The sequence below is a fragment of the Homo sapiens genome, chromosome 1 (genome assembly GCF_000001405.40).
Source record: "Homo sapiens chromosome 1, GRCh38.p14 Primary Assembly".
Lineage (NCBI taxonomy): Eukaryota > Metazoa > Chordata > Mammalia > Primates > Hominidae > Homo > Homo sapiens.
The window spans coordinates 38,769,406-38,790,562 of NC_000001.11; the positions used below are offsets into that span (position 1 = coordinate 38,769,406).

Below are 21,157 nucleotides of genomic sequence, written 5' to 3' on the forward strand. Positions count from 1 at the left end.
TTTGCAGATGACATGATCGTATATCTAGAAAACCCCATCTTCTCAGCCCAAAATCTCCTTAAGCTGATAGGCAACTTCAGCAAAGTCTCAGGATACAAAATCAATGTGCAAAAATCACAAGCATTCTTATACAACAATAATAGATAAACAGAGAGCCAAATCATGAGTGAACTCCCATTCACAATTGCTACAAAGAGAATAAAATACCTAGGAATCCAACTTACAAGGGACGTGAAGGACCTCTTCAAGGAGAACTACAAACCACTGCTCAATGAAATAAAAGAGGATACAAACAAATGGAAGAACATTCCATGCTCATGGGTAGGAAGAATCAATATCGTGAAAATGGCCATACTGCCCAAGGTAATTTATAGATTCAATGCCATTCCCATCAAGTTACCAATGACTTTCTTCACAGAATTGGAAAAAACTACTTTATAGTTCATATGGAACCAAAAAAGAGCCCGCATTGCCAAGTCAATCCTAAGCCAAAAGAACAAAGCTGGAGGCATCACGCTACCTGACTTCAAACTATACTACAAGGCTACAGTAACCAAGACAGCATGGTACTGGTACCAAAACAGATACATAGACCAATGGAACAGAACAGAGGCCTCAGAAATAATGCCGCATATCTACAACCATCTGATCTTTGACAAACCTGACAAAAACAAGAAATGGGGAAACGATTCCCTATTTAATAAATGGTGCTGGGAAAGCTAGCTAGCCACATGTAGAAAGCTGAAACTGGATCCCTTCCTTACACCTTATACAAAAATTAATTCAAGATGGATGAAAGACTTAAATGTTAGACCTGAAACCATAAAAACCCTAGAAGAACACCTAGGCAATACCATTCAGGACATAGGCATGGGCAAGGACTTCATGGCTAAAACACCAAAAGCAATGGCAACAAAAGCCAAAATTGACAAATGGGATCTAATTAAACTAAAGAGCTTCTGCACAGCAAAAGTAACTACCATCAGAGTGAACAGGCAACCTACAGAATGGGAGAAAATGTTTGCAATCTACTCATCTGATAAAGGGCTAATATCCAGAATCTACAATGAACTCAAACAAATTTACAAGAAAAAAACAAACAACCCCATCAAAAAGTGGGCAAAGGATATGAACAGACACTTCTCAAAAGAAGACATTTATGCAGCCAAAAGACACATGAAAAAATGCTCATCATCACTGGCCATCAGAGAAACGCAAATCAAAACCACAATGAGATACCATCTCACACCAGTTAGAATGGCGATCATTAAAAAGTCAGGAAACAACAGGTGCTGGAGAGGATGTGGGGAAATAGGAACACTTTTACACTGTTGGTGGGACTGCAAACTAGTTCAACCCTTGTGGAAGTCAGTGTGGCGATTCCTCAGGGATCTAGAACTAGAAATACCATTTGACCCAGCAATCCCATTACTGGGTATATACCCAAAGGATTATAAATCATGCTGCTATAAAGACACATGCACACATATGTTTACTGAGGCACTATTCACAATAGAAAGACTTGGAAGCAAGCCAAATGTCCAACAATGATAGATTGGATTAAGAAAATGTGGCACATATACACCATGGAATACTATGCAGCCATAAAAAATGATGGGTTCAGGTCCTTTGTAGTGACATGGATGAAGCTGGAAACCATCAATCTCAGCAAACTATCGCAAGGACAAAAAACCAAACACCGCATGTTCTCACTCATAGGTAGGAATTGAACAATGAGAACACATGGACACAGGAAGGGGAACATCACACACCGGGGCCTGTTGTGGGGTGGGGGGAGGGAGGAGGGATAGCATTAGGAGATATACCTAATGTCAAATGACGAGTTAATGGGTGCAGCACACCAACATGGCACATGTATACATATGTAACTAACCTGCACGTTGTGCACATGTACACTAAAACTTAAAGTATAATTAAAAAAAAAAGAAATGTGGGCTGGAGCTGGGCATGGTGGTGAGTGGATGTAGTCCCAGTTACTCAGGAGGCTGAGGCCAGAGGATCGCCTGAGCCTGGGTATACAAGTGAGTTGTGATTGCATCACTGAACTTCAGCCTGAATGACAGACAGAGACACTGTCTTTTTGGAAGTTAAAAAAGAAAAGACAGAAATGTGGACTGGGAGAGTTGGGAATGTGTAGAGAAGGGAGGCGGCCACCACAGAGCCCTGAGGGGAAGGAGATCAGAACCCATGGAGGAAACCACAAAGCAGCACCCAGAGATGCTGGAGGAAAACCAAGGGGCTGCAGAGTCATGGACACCACGGGAATGTTCAAGGTGAGGGGAGTCGCTTCCAGTGTCCCAGGCAGTAGAGATGAGAAGCAAAGATGAAAGCAGAAGAGTGGCTGTTGGATGTGGCCATTAGCAGGTGAGTGGTGTCTCCAGAGACAGAGCAGTTCTGGGGTCACAGAGGAGCCAAAAGCCACACTGCAAAGAATCAAGAAGGGAATGCAAAACACGGAACCTGCTGAAAAACAGACAGTGACCTGAAACATCAATAAATAATAGCCAGGCACGGTGGCATGTGCCTGTATTCCCAGCTGCTTGGGAGGCTGATGCAGGAGGATCGCTTGAGCCCAGCAGTTCAAATCCAGCCTGGGCAACATAGCTTCATTATCTCACTTCTTATTCTGCACCACAGCCCTATGAGAAGGTACTATCGTCAGTGTCTCTGTTTTACAGAGAAGAAAACCGAGGCTCAGGAGGTAAATTAGCCTCCCCAGCATTATACAGCCAGGAAGTGGCAGAACCAGGTTTCAACCCTGGCTGTCTGGGCTGCAGAGCCCTTGTGCTAAGCCATTCAAATGCATTTCACACCCTCTCCACTGATCCCATGCTAAGGGACCCTCCGCTGGGTGACCCTGGCTTAGACACCAGACTTTAAGCAGCCATGGGTGGGGAGGGACTGTGCCTGACTCCCTTCTCTCCCTTCCCCTAGAAGTCTAGGGGGTCACTTTGTGTTTCTAGAGGCAAATCTAGCTTATGTGTACAAACTTCCACGTAAAAATCCGTCCTGTCCTGGGGTACTTGTAGAAATCTTCATGAGGCAGGGTCAAAAGCCGTGACTCTTGTCCCAGATGTCTGCTGAGCAAGAGACATGGCAACCTTTGCTAGTCTCCCTGGACACCCCTCTACAGCCTCACCTGACCTGCTCATGTCCTGGGACCGCTGAGCTCAGAGCACCTGCAGAACACAGTGAGGTCCATTCAAAACCCCAGCATTTGGGTCTAGGCCACCCACTACCTGGGATCACAGTGTTTTTGTGCGGCATGCTGCCACCTGCATGCCCTGGCTGGTCCCCTAATGCTCCAATCACACAGATGAGGCCCCCTCCCACTGTGGGCAGCCACCAGCGGAGAGTCCTTCCAGGACCAATCAGGTCCACTCTGACCCCAGCCTCCAGCCTAAGCCCTAACCCCAGCTCTGCCAGGCTGAGGTGGCAATGCCAGCCTGCCTGGCCAGGCTCCCACCAAAAGTCTGACAGTGAATGAGAATGGACAGAAGGAAAAGGAGAAGGAAAACTGTCTCTTTTTACCCTGTGTTCTTCTCAATTGTTTGGCTGTTACATCTTGACCATAAATAAATATATATAAATATTGAGAGACAGTACAGTGGTTAATAGCACAGGTGCTGACATCACCTGGGTTCAAATCTGCGTTCAAACCTGACTCCTTACTTGCAAACTAAGTGAGTTTGGGTGAATGACATCATCTCTCTGTAGCTCAGCTCCTTATCTGTAGAGATAGGATAATATAACAAAAGTATACCGAGTGCTTAGCACAGTGCCTAACAATTACACACGATGCCATAATTTAAAAACACAACCAATCTGGTTTTAAATTTTGGGTCCACTACCCATTTGCTGAATGGCCTTGAACAAGTTGCTAAACTTCTCTGTGCCTCAATTTCCTCCTCTATAAATGGGGTGAAGATCATAATTGCACATCCCTCATAGAGTTATTATCAGAATTAAATGAAGTAGTGTATCTAAATCACTTAGAAAAGCACCTGGCACAGAGTAAGCATTGTGTAAATATTAGCTACTATTATTGCTTAATAAACAAATGAAGCAGTTTAAAAAAAAAAAACAGGAAGGAAAGATGGGCACAGCCAAAAGAAAGAGGAGCCCCCAAAACCCCTGCCAGAGCAACTGCATTGGTAGGCAAGAGCCAAATGGGAATCAGATAACCACAAAGTAGAGACCAGTAATAGCACTGTGGGCCCAGCCAGCACTGATGACTTTAGTCCCTGAGAACACTCACCACCACCCCCTGCTACCCACAAGTCCTTGCTCCTGCACGTGGGCCACATTCCTCACCACCCCAGAAGCAAGAACCCTGGCTGTAGCAGGGGAGCAAGAGCAGGAAAAGGGAGTGGAGATCCAGGTGCTGGGCCAGAGTCTGTGCAGGCCGGGATAGGGCCTCCTCCAAACCCTGGGGGCAGCACCCTAAGGTGGGGGCTGGGCAGGGATGGGTAGCAGTGAAGGAGGTAGGTATGGAGGAGATGTTCCTACTTATGGAGGTTTGACGAGTTGGTGTGTAAAGCTGAAGGTACCTAGGCCCATAGTTTTCCAACTTTATGTGAGTTCAAATCACCCAAGAAGCAGATTTTTGTCTGTATTTTTATTTTTATTTTATTTTTTATTTTTATTCATTTATTGATTTATTTTTGAGATGGAGTCTTGCTCTGTCACCCAGACTGGAGTGCAATGGCATGATCTCGGCTCACTACAACCTCCGCCTCCTGGGTTCAAGCGATTCTCCTGCCTCAGGCCTCCCAAGTAGCTGGGACTAAAGGTGTGTGCCACCACGCCCAGCCAATTTTTGTATTTTTGGTAGAGACAGGCTTTCGCCATGTTGGTCAGGCTGGTCTCGAACTCCTGACCGCAAGTGATCCGCCTGCCTTGGCCTACCAAAGAGCTGGGATTACAGGCGTGAGCCACTATGCCTGGCCAAAATCTATATATTTAATAAACTCCACCCTCCCCACACCCCAACTTCCAGGGGATGAGAAATCCCAGCCTTTGCCAGAATCTTTCACAGGGTCATGCTTACCACATGTGTTATCTTCAGCAGGATTTGCAAGTTGGAAAGCATCATTTTCGACTGGCCCTTCTGTTAAGAGAAAGAGAAGAAGGAGGAGGCGGAAGAGAAGGAAAGGAAGAGAAAGGAATGAAAGAAAAAGACTTCAAAAAATTTTTCAAGTCAAACTGCGGCTCCAGTGACTATAACTTTTAACCCTCCAAAAAGCCCCATTGTAGCTTTCAAGTGTCAATCTAAGAGCTGAGCCTGAATTATCTAACCTTCGGCTTTAAAGAGCCACATTAAAAAGGTCAGCAGGACAACCGCAGTGTGTTGCGGGAAGCTTCTCTCCTTCAGACACTTGAAAGGTAGACTTTCAGAGAGGGGCATAGCCAAGAGAAGTCACCCATTTCGAATAAAACAGCCTTGGCTGAACAAGCTAGACCCTTACAACCGCTTACTTGTGATTGAATTTGGTCCCTTATTGTTTAAATAATTAGAGGGAATCTTTGCAAAACACAGAATTGACCCCTCACTTCCAACCTTTTGACAGCTCCCTAACACCTGTAACAGTAGCTCCCAAACTGTAACCGGCAATAATAGTTGTTAGGGGAATAACGGGTGTCTTGTGGTTGAATACGTTTATAAAACACTGGGTTAGGCCAAGTCAAACAGGTTTTGTTCCTATAGGACTTGGCAGGGCCCTTGCTGTGCTAAGGTTCATTAGCCATTTGGGGGCCTGGAATATCTGTGCAGCGTTTCCATCCCTGATTTGACCGCCACTGAACCTCTGCTTCAGGGAGCAACCCTCAGGTCTATAGTTTTACGGAACACCACTGGGACTCACAGCAAGCCCCTTAGTCTAGCATGCAAGGCCTTCCCTGCCTAGTCCTGGCCCATATTTCCAGGCTCTCCCTCATCCCACACACATGCACCCACACCTGAAGTTCTAAGCACACCAGCTACTTGCCCTTCACAAGGCACTTAAGACACTTAACTGGCTGCTCTCACTGCTGGAAATGACCTTCCTCCTCTTCTTTACCCTAAAACTTCCACTCACATTCAGAGCCCTTGCTCAAAGTCATTGCTTCTATGGAACCTTCAGCTGCTCCCTCCACAAAAGCTGACTGCTTCCTGCTCAAGGCTCTATCACAGCACGGATCAACCTGCACTGTGACTAGCCTGAGTCTCTCCATTATTAATTGAGAGTTTCAGAGGGCTGGGAGTATAAGCCGATCAAGGCAATGTGTGTTGGCAATACTAATAGCTTCCATCTGTCGGCACTTCCTAAGGCCAGGCATTATCGTAAGCTCTCAACGTGCATCAACACATGTCATCCTCAAAAACTTACTCACTGGGTAAATAACGACAATTAACAATTCTTATTATTCCTATTTTATAGATGAGGAAGCTGAAACTCAGACGGGTTACCATGCCTAAAGTCACACGAGCATTTTATGGCAGAGGCAGGATTCAACCCTACATCTTCAAACACTATATTGTAACACTTAAGAGCAGTAGAGGTGGCCGGGTGTGGTGGCTCACGCCTGTAATCCCAGCACTTTGGAAAACTGAGGCGGGTGGATCACGAGGTCAGGAGATCGAGACCATCCTGGTTAACATGGTGAAACCCCGTCTCTACTAAAAAATACAAAAAATTAGCCAGGCGTGGTGGTGGGCGCCTGTAGTCCCAGCTACTCAGGAGGCTGAGGCAGGAGAATGGCATGAACCCAGGAAGCAGAATTTGCAGTGAGCCGAGATTGCACCACTGCACTCCAGCCTGGGCGACAGAGTGAGACTCCGTCTCAAAAAAAAAAGAAGTAGAGGTGCACTTGACTCTAGGGCTGGCTGATTCAGAAGCTGCACAATGTCATCAAGAACTCAGACTCTTTCTGTCTCTCCACTCTGCATCCTCAGGAAATTAGCTCTGCCCTCAGGCTGGCTGTTCTCATGGTGCCAAGACAGTGGCAGCAGTTCCAAGCATCACATCCAGCCATAATGTCCAAGAGAAGAAAGGGAACAGAGTGGAAGCTAGGAGCATCATCTATGGAACCAGACCACCTTACTTCCTAGGTGTATGACCTTAGGCAAGTCAAGTGTATGCAAAGATAGAATGGGCTGTCTTGAAAGGAGCTCTCCATTGTCTCTCACTTCAGGTTTTGCCTAGAACAGTCCTCTACCCCTTCTTTGCCTAACACACACCTATTCTTTCTTTAGAAATCATCTCCAACCTCACCTCCTCCAGGAAGCCTTCCCTGATGGCCCCCATCCAGGCTAGTTTCAATGCTTTGCTGTGTGTCCCTGAGTAGTCTGTACTTGCCCCCATTGTTGTATACTCTCCACAATACTGTAATTACTTGTTTCATTGTCTGTCTTCCACACTAGAGCATGAGCTGAGAAAAGGCAGGAAACACCTGTCTTGTCACCATGGCATCCCTATAACTGGTGCAGTACCCAACACATATAAGGGGCTTAAAAAATATCTGCTAGATGTTCAAGCAGAAGACAAAAGATCATATAACTAAGGCATTGTAGCAAGGGCTTGGCAGTTCAATTAGATAATCTTTAGGTCTTGAGGTGGACAATTCTCAGGCACATCAGCTAGTCCTTGTTCAGAGACCTGGGGGAGCCTTGGCCACCATGCCCCAAGAGCCACATGAGCTACATGCAGGGAAAATGTCTCCTTAGGTTTTCCCCACAAGCTGGGATAATCCTCCAAAAGATGCAGTCAAGAGTCACGGTGTGATGGCCCACGTCTGTAATCCCAGGACTTTGGAAGGCTGAGGCGGGTGGATCCCTTGAGCCCAGGAGTTCGAGACCAGCCTAGGCAACATGGTGAAGCTCTGTCTCTACAAAAAATACAAAAATTAGCTGGGTGTAGTGGTATATGCCTGTAGTACCAGCTACTTGGGAGACTGAGGTGGGAGGATCGCGTGAGCCTGGGAGGCAGAGGTTGCAGTGAGCTGTGATCACACCAATGCACTCCAGCCTGAGTGACAGAGTGAGACCCTGTCACAAAAAAAAAAAAAAAAAAAAAGAGTCATGAGGGAAGCACAGAATCTTGAGTCATACAAACTCTAGAGGCTTAAGTTCTTGCTCTGCCACTTCCTGCCCATGTTCCTGAGCACATCTCATCATCTCCCTGGACCTTATTTTCTTCATCTGTAAAATGGGGTTAAAAGCAATACTTCCTCCAGAGAGTGATTGTAAAGATTAAATGAGACAAGTTATACAGAAAGCCAAGCACACAATAAACCCTCCAGTAAACGTTGGCTCCTCTTATCAGTGTACACATTTGCAGTGACAAAACTGCACAGAAGTGGCGACCTATTTTATAACCCTATCTCCAGGCTTAGTCTCTGGAGCTCAGAGAGGCTCGCTGTTGGGAATGGCATGATGCGCTAAGGGTGGAAGGTTCATTGGCTGAGCACGCTACTGTCCCTCAATAAAGATGAAGACAGAGATGAGGTCATCGACAGCCACTGAAAAATGCAGGGCAATGGGCAGGACTGAAGCCAAACTCTCCGAGTATTAATGGCTAATTGCATATTGAGTTGGGGAAGTGTTTTAGGAAAAAAAAAAAAACTTTCATCAATTTTTCTTCTGGGACAGTTTTAGGAATCACTGAAGAATAAGCTGCTCAATAGCTCTTAAGTGTGTTCGAAAGGGTGCTAGGCTAGGAGTGAGGACACTTGGATTCTTGTCCTGGACCTTCCAGCAGCTTGCTTTGGGACCTGCCCTGTTCTAACCTCCGCCTCAGTCACCTCTGAAGTGCCTCTGAGCCTCTGTGGCAGGTTGTATAGCATGGTGGCTGAATGGCAGCCTTTAGACCCCAAAGACCTGAGTTCAAGTTCCAGCTCTGCTACTTAGAAACTATTACCCTCTGCAAGTCCTTTAACCCCCTCTAAGCAAGACTAGAGTTTATTTTATGTGAATTGGAGATTCTAATTGTACTTACTTCACAGGACCTACCTACCTCTGTTCTCCCACCAGCTCTTCTGAGGATTAAACGAGGTAATTACACAAAGCTCTTAATGGGTTCAGCACAGGAGCACTCAAGAAGTGGTAGCTGTTGTGCTTATTTTGATTTGATAATTCTCTTGACATTGTTGATGGCAGTGACACCTGGGGAAAGCCCACGCAGACCATACATTTGACAGAGATGCATAAATCCTTCCAAACAGGCATGTCACCATGCAGAGGATGGTGAAGGCTTCTGTCCCAGGGCTTGATGGTGTTCTGCTTCATTCTGCTTCAAAATCTCTTTGAACCAGTCAAGCACCTTATCAAGGCCTTTAGCTCTAAACCTCAGTGGTGTTAAGTGCACTTTGTTACTTAACTGATGATTTCTATCCCCAGCAGGGGCTGACTTAACCTCAGAAAGAAAGAAATGTGCTGGTAGGTAGTGTTTGGGAAAGTGACAAGCTGTACTTTGTATCCAATCCTAATTTTTAAGTTTCTTTTTTTTTTTTTTTTGAGACGGAGTCTCACTCTGTCGCCCAGGCTGGAGCGTATGGCACAATCTCGGCTCACTGCAAGCTCTGCCTCCCGGGTTCACACCATTCTCCTGGCTCAGCCTCCCGAGTAGCTGGGACTACAGGCACCCACCACCACGCCTGGCTAATTTTTTGTATTTTTGGTAAAGACGGGGTTTCACCATGTTAGCCAGATGGTCTCGATCTCCTGACCTCATGATCCACCCACCTCAGCCTCCCAAAGTGCTGGGATTACAGGTGTGAGCCACCGCAACCGGCTGAAGTTTCTTTTTTAAAAGAAAAAAGAACTATTGCTCTTCCAGTGATTAAAATCCTGGGCTAGAGAATCAAACAGACTTGGATTTACATCTGGGCTCTCCAGCGCTCACTATCCAAGACCAAGGGTGAGTTTTTCATCCTCTAAAGCTCAGTTGTCTCCTTTGTAAAATGGGGATTAGAAATACCTCCTATCTCTTGGGGCTGCTGCTGCAATTAAGTATGTTGATACAGGTAAAGCTCTTGGTACAGTATCTAGCATCCAGTAACTGCTCGATAAGGGTGTGGTATGATTATTATTTTATTATTATTATCACCAAGGAAAACTAGTGGGGAGTTAAATTGGCAAACAAGCTGTTAAGAGGCCGTGAATATTCATTAGACAATCTAGTGTTTATCCAGTTGGTAGATGTTAGCCCAGCATAGACAATCTAAGTGGCTGCTGAATGGCTCAGACACACCACGGAGAGGTTTGATCCACTCACGCTGGTCCAGATTAACAGAATCCTAGCCTCCCTCCCAGCCCTGCCCTTTCTCCACTTGCTGAGTGACCATTCAAGTTCCTTCCCTTCTCTAGACGTCAATTTCCTCGCCTATCAGAGGCAAGGATTAGACTGGAGAGTCTTTAAATGTCTAAATCCCTATACTTTTAGGATTCCCATGAATTTGTAAGCAATTGTTGCCTAACCATGTCCCTAATTAAGTCTTTCATGGTTATTTTAATTAGCCACCTTTAAACCTTAAAGTAGGTTTGGGGAGAAATGATGTATTTAAATTTATTTATACTCTGCCTTGGAACTTCTTGTGGACACAACACAAGCTTAGGGACAGACAGCCTGGGCCTAGGTCCCAGGTCTGCCACTTTCTAAGTGTACAGCCCTGGGAAGCTCAGTCTTCCTCTCCTGGCCTCAGTCTTCCCCTCCTGGGAAATGGAAATGGCAGCTTCCCCACTGAGTGATTGCAAAGATTACAGGGGAGAAGACTAGCTCAGAGGAGGGCAAAGGACCTAAGCCAGTCCACTTGGAGTGTCTCTCAGGGCTTTTGCCAGCAAGGTGGGAGCAGACACTCACTCTGCTCTACTAGATATGCACCTGGGTGTTTGCTCAGCATCTCTGACCACCCACGAGGGTAGGATCTGCCTGATAATAGAATCAGCACAGAGGAAGCAGAGAATGAAACCAAACCTGAGGACAATGATGGAGCCCCAGGGCTCATACATGACGTCTCATATCACCTGAGACAAAACGCTTTTTTTTCTTCACAAAGAAAAGTTAAGTGAGATTTTATTTTTTCCAACGCAGTTATCACCTTCTAATATAAATTCATAATAAATTTATGAATGTATTATGTTTATTGCTCACTGTCTATCTCTCTTCACTACAATGGAAGCTTCATGAGAGTAGAGGTTTTTGTCCCTTTTGTTCACTGATACATCCCTAGCAGCCAACACAGTGCCTGACACATAGTAGATACTCAATAAATATCTGTTTTTATTTGTTTTTGTTTTTGTTATTTTTTTAGAGACTGGGTCTCGCTATGTTGCCCAAGCTGGTCTTGAACTCCTGGGCTCAAGCAATCCTCCTGCCGCAGCCTCCCAAAGTGCTGGGATTACAGGTGTGAGCCACCATGCCCAGCCTCAATAAATATCTGTTGAATGAATGGATGAAGATACTTTGAAATCTGGAGAGTGCTGCAAATGTCTTTAATAATAGCTATAGATACTTTCTCATAATTTTTTTTCATGTGCTGTTTGGATTTGCCATTTAGCTGATAACCTGAGACCAATCCAGACGCTCCTCAGACCTAAGACAGTGGCTAACCTTCACTGCCTCATCTCAAAAGGCAAAACATGGCAACAGGTAACTGGGTCTTTGCATTTGGAGGTCCCACCCTCTTAGAGGCTGATCCTAAAGTGCTGGGGATCTCAGGATCTTACCCGTGACTCTTTTCTCTTCTCATTCCTCATGCTGTCCCGCAGTGAGCCCATCCTCTCCCAGGGTTTTAAGTACCTCTCCTTATGCTGAAGCATCCCGGGCTTCTTTCTCCAGCCTTGACTGCCAGAACCAGATCCCAAGCTGCTTGCCTGACTTTTCCACTTGGCTGAACTGCACACAAACCCAGAAGAAAATGAGAACACAAGGCCCCTGATAAAAAAAAATGTATTAAGAATTTCAAGATGGTGATAGAAGAGCATACAAACACACTCAGAGCCCTCCTGAGCACAGGGCGACCACCCGGGTCACACACCCATGAAGCTGGCCTGGACTGCAGGCACTTCACACTCAACATGTCTGAAATTTTCATCTTCCTCCCACCCCAACATGCTCCTCCTCATAAGTTCCTCATCTTAAAGCACAGCCTCCCCATCCATCCAGTTACTCAAGTTAGACAGCAGGACCTCACTCGGTTGCGATTACTAAAGCCTGTGCCTCTCCTTGACGTCTTTTGCTCCCTGAACCCAGGTCATACCTGTAACAGCCTTCTAATCACACACTGCCTCCTGTCTCACATCCACTCCAAACCATTTTCCACACTGTAGCCAGAGTGATCCTCCTAAAGTACAGATTCTTAAGTCCAGGCTCCTTGGCATGGCAGAAAAGGCCTCAGTGATGTGACTTCAGCTTCTTCTTCAGCCTTCCACAGCAGCCACTTGAACTTTGGCTAGGTCCTTCCGACCAGCCATTTCTGATGCTTGAAACACCCTTGCTGTTCCCTGCACCCCAGTCCCTTTCATCAGGTTTCCTCTTAGAAAGATTTCTGGACCAGCTGAGTGCCTCTCCTGCAGGCTCCCTCAGCCACATTCTTCCCCCAAATCAGCATTAGTCATGAGACGGTATACTTCCTGTTTACTGATTCAATTTCTCAATAGATGGTACACTATTGAGGGTCTCTGTTTCCCATTGTGTCAGTGGGACTGGCACAGTGCCTGGCTGGCTATTTTGGTCATTGTAACCCTAACTGGGGCAGGTCCTAAGTAAGGAAATGGAGGGTGGTGACATTCTACCTGATGGTCCAAAAAACAAACAAATGAGCTGCATCCACACACCTTCTTCAAAGTCTCTCTAGAAAAGATATGAGCGAAAACAGCCACACACACTTGTACATGTGTTTCATGCCCTCTTGTTTATTGCAGGACACAGAGATGCACATTTAACAATGGGAGACAGGACAATTTTAACATTCTGGGGTAACACTGAGGCTGACTCACCCCTGGAGGGGTGGGCTAAGTTGCCACTAACATCGTATGTCCTTGTAAATTTCCTTGCTATAGAAACAAGAGGGAAAGCAGGTCCCTGGATGAGAAACAAACATTTGTGGTCCCTATGACTTCATTTTCTGGTATCCTGATCATTAAAAAACTTGAAAAAGAACAGGATGTCTTTTCTTTACCCGCATACCTAATTATCAAGAATCCTGAAACTGTTTATATCATTTTAGGGGAATAAGATAAGAAAACATCTTAAGAGGAAACATGACCCATACTTTAAAAGATGGACATCATATGCGGGAAAACATTCTGAATGAGATCAATATAAACAGGGTTCATTGTATTTTAAATAGCAGGATTTAAGTAGGCTTTTATTCATAACAGAGATGGACAGTCCTCTAAATTACGCTGAGGCATCAGGGGACGAAAGGAGAGAGGGGAGTAAGTGACGGCCCGGAAAGCATATCTGTGGGATCCTAAATGAAGCAAAATTAAAATGCATTTTTCCAGAAAGCCAAACAAATTATAAGTAGGAACAATTAGGTGACGACAATTCCTCTAGTAGAAATATATATGTTTCTGTTTTCCTATTTATAATGGAGCTAGAAGGTATCAGAGTCCTCCTGCTACTGGTTTGAAGCTAAGCCTTAATTTAGAATAAAAATATTCAGGAAAGAAATGGGGGCAAGGACTTTGGTCTAGATAGAACTGTAACCCACACTTAAGAGTTTCCAGCTAGTTAGTACCAGATTTTGACTATGAACCCACAAGAGAATAAACAGTTCATCCTGAGAACGCTGGGGTTCTGAATTGTCCAGGAATCCTTCTTATTGTCTAAAAACACGAATATCTTATGTCATCCAAAGGCACCCTCAGAGATATGTTATTTTCTTAGGGAATAAATAGTTCATAGTTCACTCTGGACTTTTGAGCCCAAGTTTACCAAGTAACACTCAATCCCTTTTACAGGGCTTCTGGTTAAAGATTCCATTTTGATTTTAATGGAAAGATCAGTTAAACCTGAAACCCCAAGCAAGCTCCTCGTCCTCTCCTGGATCTATCTAGAGAACAAACAAGAGGAAGGCTTGCATCCCAGGAAGTAGTCCGACATAGGTAGATATTTCTAATTTACCGATAGAAAACTCTCCAGTTAAAAAACAGGCTAGCTAGTAATCTATTTAAAGCCACGGCTGACATGATAAATGAAACAGAATAAATGTATACAGCGAGTGAGCCTCCTCGGGAACACAGGAGGGGGGTTGGGGGGGGGAACGGAGCGCTTCTGCTGACAGCGGCTTTCCCGTCAGTGGCCTGTCTCTCTTGGAGGCAGCTGTCAATCACGGGCCAGCCCGCGCTCCCGGGGGAGTTCATTGTGCCCGCAGACAGTTGTGGAATAACTGCTCCTAGGCGTCAGAGCAGCAGATGGAGTGTATCTGTCAATCATTGTCACTAATTATTAACTTCTGTCACTCAGAGCAAGGCAACATCTCGGCGCCTGATCCGCTGTGATTTGATCTGCCATGCCACCTCGGAGACAGACAGAGCAACCCTTCATTCCGGTCACACTCCCAGCACTTTGCTGGGTCAGCCGCCGTGACTCAGTGTTCGCGCCCCCGACCGGGCTGGCACACGTGAGTGTGCACACGCGCGCAAGCTTCCGGAAGCGCAGCCACCGCAAGGGGTCTCCTTCGGGGGATCCAGGCCAGGAGCGCAGGATCCTGCTCATTAATTATTGAAGGAGGACAGTTTTATCTTGGCCGTTGGCGGAAGCGGGGCCAAAGTGTAAGGGAAGACCAATTTGGAGGGTTTTCTTCTCTTCTCACCACCCTGGGACCAGCCATTATCAGCCAAGTTCACATTCATTGTATTCCTATGATCTTTTCTCAACCCTCTGATTTTGGAGGTGGAGATGTCAGCCTGAATAATTAATTAAGGCATCTGTAACATGCTTTGCAAACAGGAGCCGCAACCTAAAGGGATATTTGCTACCACAGACTCTGAGAGCCTCTCTGTGACAAGACTGGGAAGAGGGTTTACAGAGCTTCAAACCCAACCACCCAAAGAGATAGACATGACTTATCCAAGGTCACACACCCCACTGCTCTGGCACCTCAAGGCCTCCCACCCATGTACATACATGGAGCATCTTTGAGGCTGGGCAGCTCGGGGACTCCTGGGTGCTGTGCCATCTGTTCTCCACCAGACGGTTTGGAAAGATTGGTTCCCTTGGAGAGGCTGAATCATCATGATGACCCACTCCCACTCAGGCACTGGAGTCACACTGCTGGGTGACTTTGAACAAGTCACTTTACGCCTCTGACCCATGATCTCATCTGCAAAACAAGGATAATTACAGAATCTCCCTCAAAGGTTACATGAGAATGTTCCAGGTACAAACATCTAGCACAGCACTTGCCTGGCACATTTGAAGCTCTCAATAAATAATAGAAATTGGTCAGGCATGGTGACTCACACCTATAATCCAACCACTATGGGAGGCAGAAGCGACAGAATCACTTGAGCTCAGGAGTTCAAGACCAGCCTGAGCAACATAGTGAAGCCCCATGTCTACGAAAAATTAAAAAATTAGCTGGGTATGGTGGTGCACACCTGTAGTCTCAGCTACTCGGGAGGCTGAGGCAGGAGGAGTGCTTGAGCCCAGGAGCTCAAGCCTGCAGTAAGCTATGATTGTGCCACTGCATTCCAGCCTGGGTGACAGGGTGAGTCCCCATCTCTTAAAAAAACAAACAAACAAAAAAAGAAGTAGAAATGACTGTCCACATGAGACCAGCACAAGGGCTGGCTGGTCTCATCTCAAAAAGTAAAAATTGGATTTTAAGAGCCACTGGAGAATACTCATCAATTACTACTTTTTAAAGTACAAGTGACAAGATTGACATTAGCCAAGCTCTAAGTCTAACAAACCTAGTTGTAGTTTCCATAACTAGGTCCTTAGGGGCCTGCTTTGGTGAATAGACAAGGATTTGTGGTAAGCATATCAATCGTTTATGTGTAAATAGTGACGCACACTTGGCTGGGTCTCTTCAACATCAGTCCTCCTCTTAGGTAACTAAAGCCCTCCCCCCTCACTCAAGTTGCCATTCCTATTTGCTTTCAAAAATCCCTTCTTGATGGAAAGTGCTCTGGGGAGTTCTAGCCCAAGCCTGATTAGAAACTAAACCAAATCCAAATTCTAAGATTGCAAGGTCTGACTGCATTTGAAAAAGCACCCCTCTGCTTCCAGCACATGCCAGGGATGCTCTGGGCCACCCAAGATGAAAAGCTGTTACTTTCCCCAAGCTCCAAGGATCCCACCAGACTCACTGTTTCAGTGATGACGTCTGTGTAACAAATTATCTCAAAACTTAGTGGCATAAAACATTCACTTATTATGCTCATGGGAACTGGGACAGGGCACACAGCAGGGGTGGCTTATCTCTGTTCCATGATCTCTGGGGCCTCTGCTAGAAGCTGGAACCAGCTGGGGCTCCTCAGCCATCTCCCTCTTGCTCTACACAAGCTCTTCACATGATCTCTCCAGCATGTCAGCTTCCAGGTGGTCAGACTTCTCACACAGCAGCCCAGGGATCCCAATGGGAATGGAGAGGAAAGGGAAGGGAGGCGAGGAGTGGGGAAAGACATGCCACCTCTCATATTTTATGTCCTAACTTCCAAAGTCATGCAGCCTCACTTCCTCCATATTCTCTCGGCTGAAGCCATTAGAGAGGTGTGCCCAGGTTCAAGGAGAGGGTCAACCTCACATAGCAAGAAGAGCATGAGTCGGATTTATAACAGTGCGGCCATCTTCGGAAATTACAATCTGCCACACCCTACCCAGACACTCCCCTGGAAACTGGAAGCCAAACTGACATCATTTCCAGGAAAGGCTTGTGGCTCCAGCTCCAGGAGAGGGTGAGAAACCTGGGGCCTCTCTTGAAGGTCACATGTAGAACAGACCCTCTGAAGCCCTGAGTTGAAGGAATTCTGGAGGGTGCTACATTAACATCACGCTCGACCTCCACACTCAGTGGGTGCAATCACAGCCAATGCTTTTGCCTGGCATTTACCCTGCCAATTCCTTAGGATGACAGATGGTTTCCAGTTCCTGGAATATACTATTCTCCTTCCTACCTGGAGACATGAGCATATTTCATTCCCTTTGCTGGGAATATCCTCTGTCCCCTTCCCCGTATTCCTGAGGTCTCAAACTCATTACCACTTCTTTAGGGAATCCTTTCCTGACTATAGTCCCCCCCGAGTTTAGGTCATATCCCCAGCTATGCACTCTCCTAGCATCCTGTATTTCTCTCTTGTAGCACCTCCCACAATTGTCATTAAATAATTGTTTTATGGCCGGGCACGGTGACTCATGCCTGTAATCCCAGCACTTTGGGAGGCCAAGGCGGGCAGATCACGAGGTCAGGTGAAACCCTGCCTCTACTAAAAAATACAAAAAATTAGCAGGGCATGACGGCGGGCGCCTGTAGTCCCAGCTACTCGGGAGCCTGAGGCAGGAGAATGGCGTGAACCCAGGAGGCCGAGGTTGCAGTGAGCCGAGATCGTGCCACTGCACTCCAGCCTGGGTGACAGAGCGAGACTCCATCTCAAATAATAATAATAATAATAATAATAATAATTGTTTTATAATGTATCCAAAATTTTGTTATAACCAGATATGGCAAGATAACAAACGTAGAGACAGCTGCCTTGAAAGAAGGATTTATTACTTATAGCTCCTGAGGAAGAGGGCTCACCACACCACACACGGCCACCCAGTGAGGCACCAGCCTGAGTCAGGAGGCAGGGGAAGCCAGAGTAGAGCAGTCCCAGGGCCTTCACTGTGGTTTCCACAAGAAGGAACGGGCAAGGGAAGGCAGGCCAGGTGGAGCAAATTTGGGACTGGATAGTTTGAATAATTTGGGTGGGCTTTGGACTACAGGGGTGGTCTCTTAATTGTCTAGTCCCTGGCCTTGGGGGGATTTCCAGCAAGGGAAATACTGGCTTCATGTGTGATAGTTAGATAGAGGAGGTGGTTGGGGACATAAGATTTGGATTGCTTGGTTTGCATATGAAAGATGTACTCTCAGGCAAGTTTTTGCTACCACTAGGAATTAGCTAGCCCTGGAAGGGGCAGTCTTCTCTAGGATTCACAACGCCCCCAAGATGGCAAAGCAGCATAAAATACAGAAAATAAAAAACATGATAAATGTGATAATCAAGAGTGTAATTCCAGCTGGGCGCGGTGGCGCACACCTGTAACCCTAGCACCTTGGAAGGCCAGGGCGGATGGATCACTTAAGGCCAGGAGTTGGAGACCAGCCTGGACAACATCGCGAAACCCCGTCTCTACTAAAAATGCAAAAATTAGCCAGGTGTGGTGGCGCATGCCTGTAATCCCAGCTACTCGGGAGGCTGAGGCACGAGAATCGGTTGAACCCAGGAGGCGGAGGTTGCAGTGAGCCGAGATCACACCACTGCACTCCAGCCTGGTTGACAGAGCGAGACCCTGTCTCAAAAAAAAGAGTGAGACTTGCACAGAGCAAGACTCTGTCTCCAAAAAAAATTTTTTTAATTATAGTTTTATTTAATTCCTTAAATTTAAATAGATATGTGTGGCTAGTGGCTACCGTATGGGAGAGCACAGATTCCATTCTCAGGCCTAAGAGCAGTTCTAAATCCTAAGGCAAAAAAGAAACTTCGTTCAAGGACAACCCTATGGAAGACAGGCTTGCTTCTGTGCCTCCAACCCCCATGGGTCCTGACCAGCTTACAGCATCATTTAAAGAAGAAAGAAGAAATTACAAAAGGTGAGTTCAGAACCCTTGTCTACTGATTGCTCCATTCAATCCAGTCTTTTCTGAAAATTATATTCAGACGACTCTTCTCGCTAAATATTAGAATGCCAGGAAGCTGGGATCCAGCATCAGAAAACCACCAGGCTTGTGCCCTGAGCATCCTCTCCATCAGCCTGGCACCTCGTAGAGAGCAGAAAACATCCTGGGCCGATTTTTTTCTTTTAATTCTGAAAGACCAGCAATGAAGCCACGCTGCAGGTGGTAAAAGTGTATGCAGAGTATGCTCCTGAAGAAAGCTGAAAACACCGGGAACGGCCATCAACTTAATCTGGGGCTGACAGGGGCTTCAAGCAGAACTAATGGCTCAGTTACATACCTCATTAGCCGAGTGGGATTTTACCCTTTTCCTTATTGTGATTGTTAATTTCCCCCCTCTGCTATTGAGAGGAAGGAATTTTGTAACAATGTTAAATTATTTGCCATTTCCAAGAGGGAAAAAATCAATTAAAAAGAGAGTCTGGGAGAAGATAAAAATGAATTTCTTTATCACTTGTGCTGATCATTTAAGATGGGATTTTCCCCTGCGGGAATACTGCACAGAATAACAGTAGTTCTAGGGCATTTGATAAAGAAAAAGTTCTCTCTCAGTGGTGATTAACGTTACCATCTCCCATCTCTTTCCTGCAAAAGGAGCTTGGAATTCCATTCGATCCCCAGCTTTGTGTGGCTTTCCCTACTTCCCTATCAACTCAAAATTTGGGGTGCTTGGCAAAGGAGGTCCTGTGTGGAACCAGCTGGGTCACACACTCACGGAGGATGAATGCATACCCTTTACAAAACACAAATGCATTTTGTCTCTTCTGCAGACCTTTCTGGGGAAAACCTAGCTGTGCTTCCTTCTGATTTCTCCTAGCAAGTGGAGAAATGAACTCCTCCACACCACGCCCCCTTGCCTGCCCCTGGAGGAACATATGTGGCCAGAAGCTGCCAGCAAGCCTCTATGTGTCCTCTCATAACCCTGACAACTCGAGTCGCTAACAATATTTCCGTTGGAGAAACTTTTATAAAATATTACAATCAATTCAATTGCATTAACACGTTTGAACCTCTAAGTTCAACACAGTGGAAAACACAATACTTCTCTATTACATCAAGTGTCTGGTCAGATATATATCACACAAAACTGAAACCAGAGGCACTGAGGGGACCCTGTTTATCCCAACTTAGCAAAAGGAATTATCTGACAGTTGGAAATGAAAAACTACTAATAAACATTACAGTTTATTGAAAAGTTTAAACAATAAGATTAAGAAAACTTCTGCAATATTAAGAAATGTATATTATCCTACTTTACCTTGCTTGGGGAATTCCTTAAGGATTTATTATTCTGTTACACCACCAAAAACACTGTGTTATGTTAAGGAATTCTGCCTTCCTGCCTGCATTCCGCATGAATCTAAAATTAAGAGGCAATCTTTCTTCAGCATATCGTACTTCCCTAAATTAGGTTTGGTTTCCAGAGCAGAATTTGGAAGTCAGTGTTTTTTTCCCCGGGTACCATTGGCCCCTTATAATAAATGCTCTAGAGAAAAGAGCTTCCTTTTCTCTAGTGCTTTTGTTGTTGGTGCTGAAATGCATGCATTTAATGCCAGTGAGGATGCTGGGATGGGAAGCTGTCGGTCCTCCAGGGCCTGGGGCACAAGGCACTGGAAAGGAGCCAAGAACTGCTGCAGGGAGTGGTCTGGCCTTTGGCCAAGTAGGAACAAAGAGGTCTAGAAAACAGCCTCCAAAACCCACATAGATTTTGGATTGAGTGGCCTTGAGCATAGCAAAGTCCCGCTTCCTGCCTGCCTTGTCCATGTCTTTACAGCTTATCTCTCCACAGGCCACCACTTAGCTCCCAACAGCAAACCACTTCTCTCCCTGGGCATGAGGGTTTTCAGGAGAAGCAGCCTAGAGTGTGGCTGTCAGAATCTAAAGCTCCAGATGGGGAAAGAACGGGGCTCAGATTCCTCCACTGTAAATTGGAGGTATTGATAATGTGATCCAGATGTAATCGCAGCCTGGGAGACAGAAATAGGGGCTGTTCAAGCCTTCCCAGGATGTGGGTTGAGACCCCAGCCTCACACCTGTGATCTAGATTCTGCTCTTCTGCTCCCCTCAATGTCTCTGTCCTGCCCCCACATCCCCCAAGTGCAGAGCTCAGCCTCTTGAACCAGCTTCCACTGGAAATCCATTCACACCGAGGGTTTGGTGAGTTCCAATAGAACTTAGGAACATTTGGTAGAGGCAGGGGAGAGGAGACAGGCCACATCAAACAGTATAAAGCACGCCACCAACTTGTCCCTCAGCCCCAGCTTACTGA

The 21,157-nt window shown here is 45.9% G+C and overlaps 2 annotated features.

The window, feature by feature from the left end:
* Positions 13,680-15,052: an enhancer, noted in NCBI's record as "VISTA enhancer hs1139". NCBI's record gives its function as "enhancer in: hindbrain (rhombencephalon)[5/5]" and the evidence as "EXISTENCE:transgenic organism evidence [ECO:0001131][PMID:17130149]".
* Positions 18,800-19,365: an enhancer, noted in NCBI's record as "OCT4-NANOG-H3K4me1 hESC enhancer chr1:39253877-39254442 (GRCh37/hg19 assembly coordinates)". NCBI's record gives its function as "activates a minimal SCP1, AML or CMV promoter by ChIP-STARR-seq in naive and primed H9 embryonic stem cells {active_cell/tissue: H9 hESC(naive and primed)}" and the evidence as "EXISTENCE:reporter gene assay evidence [ECO:0000049][PMID:30033119]".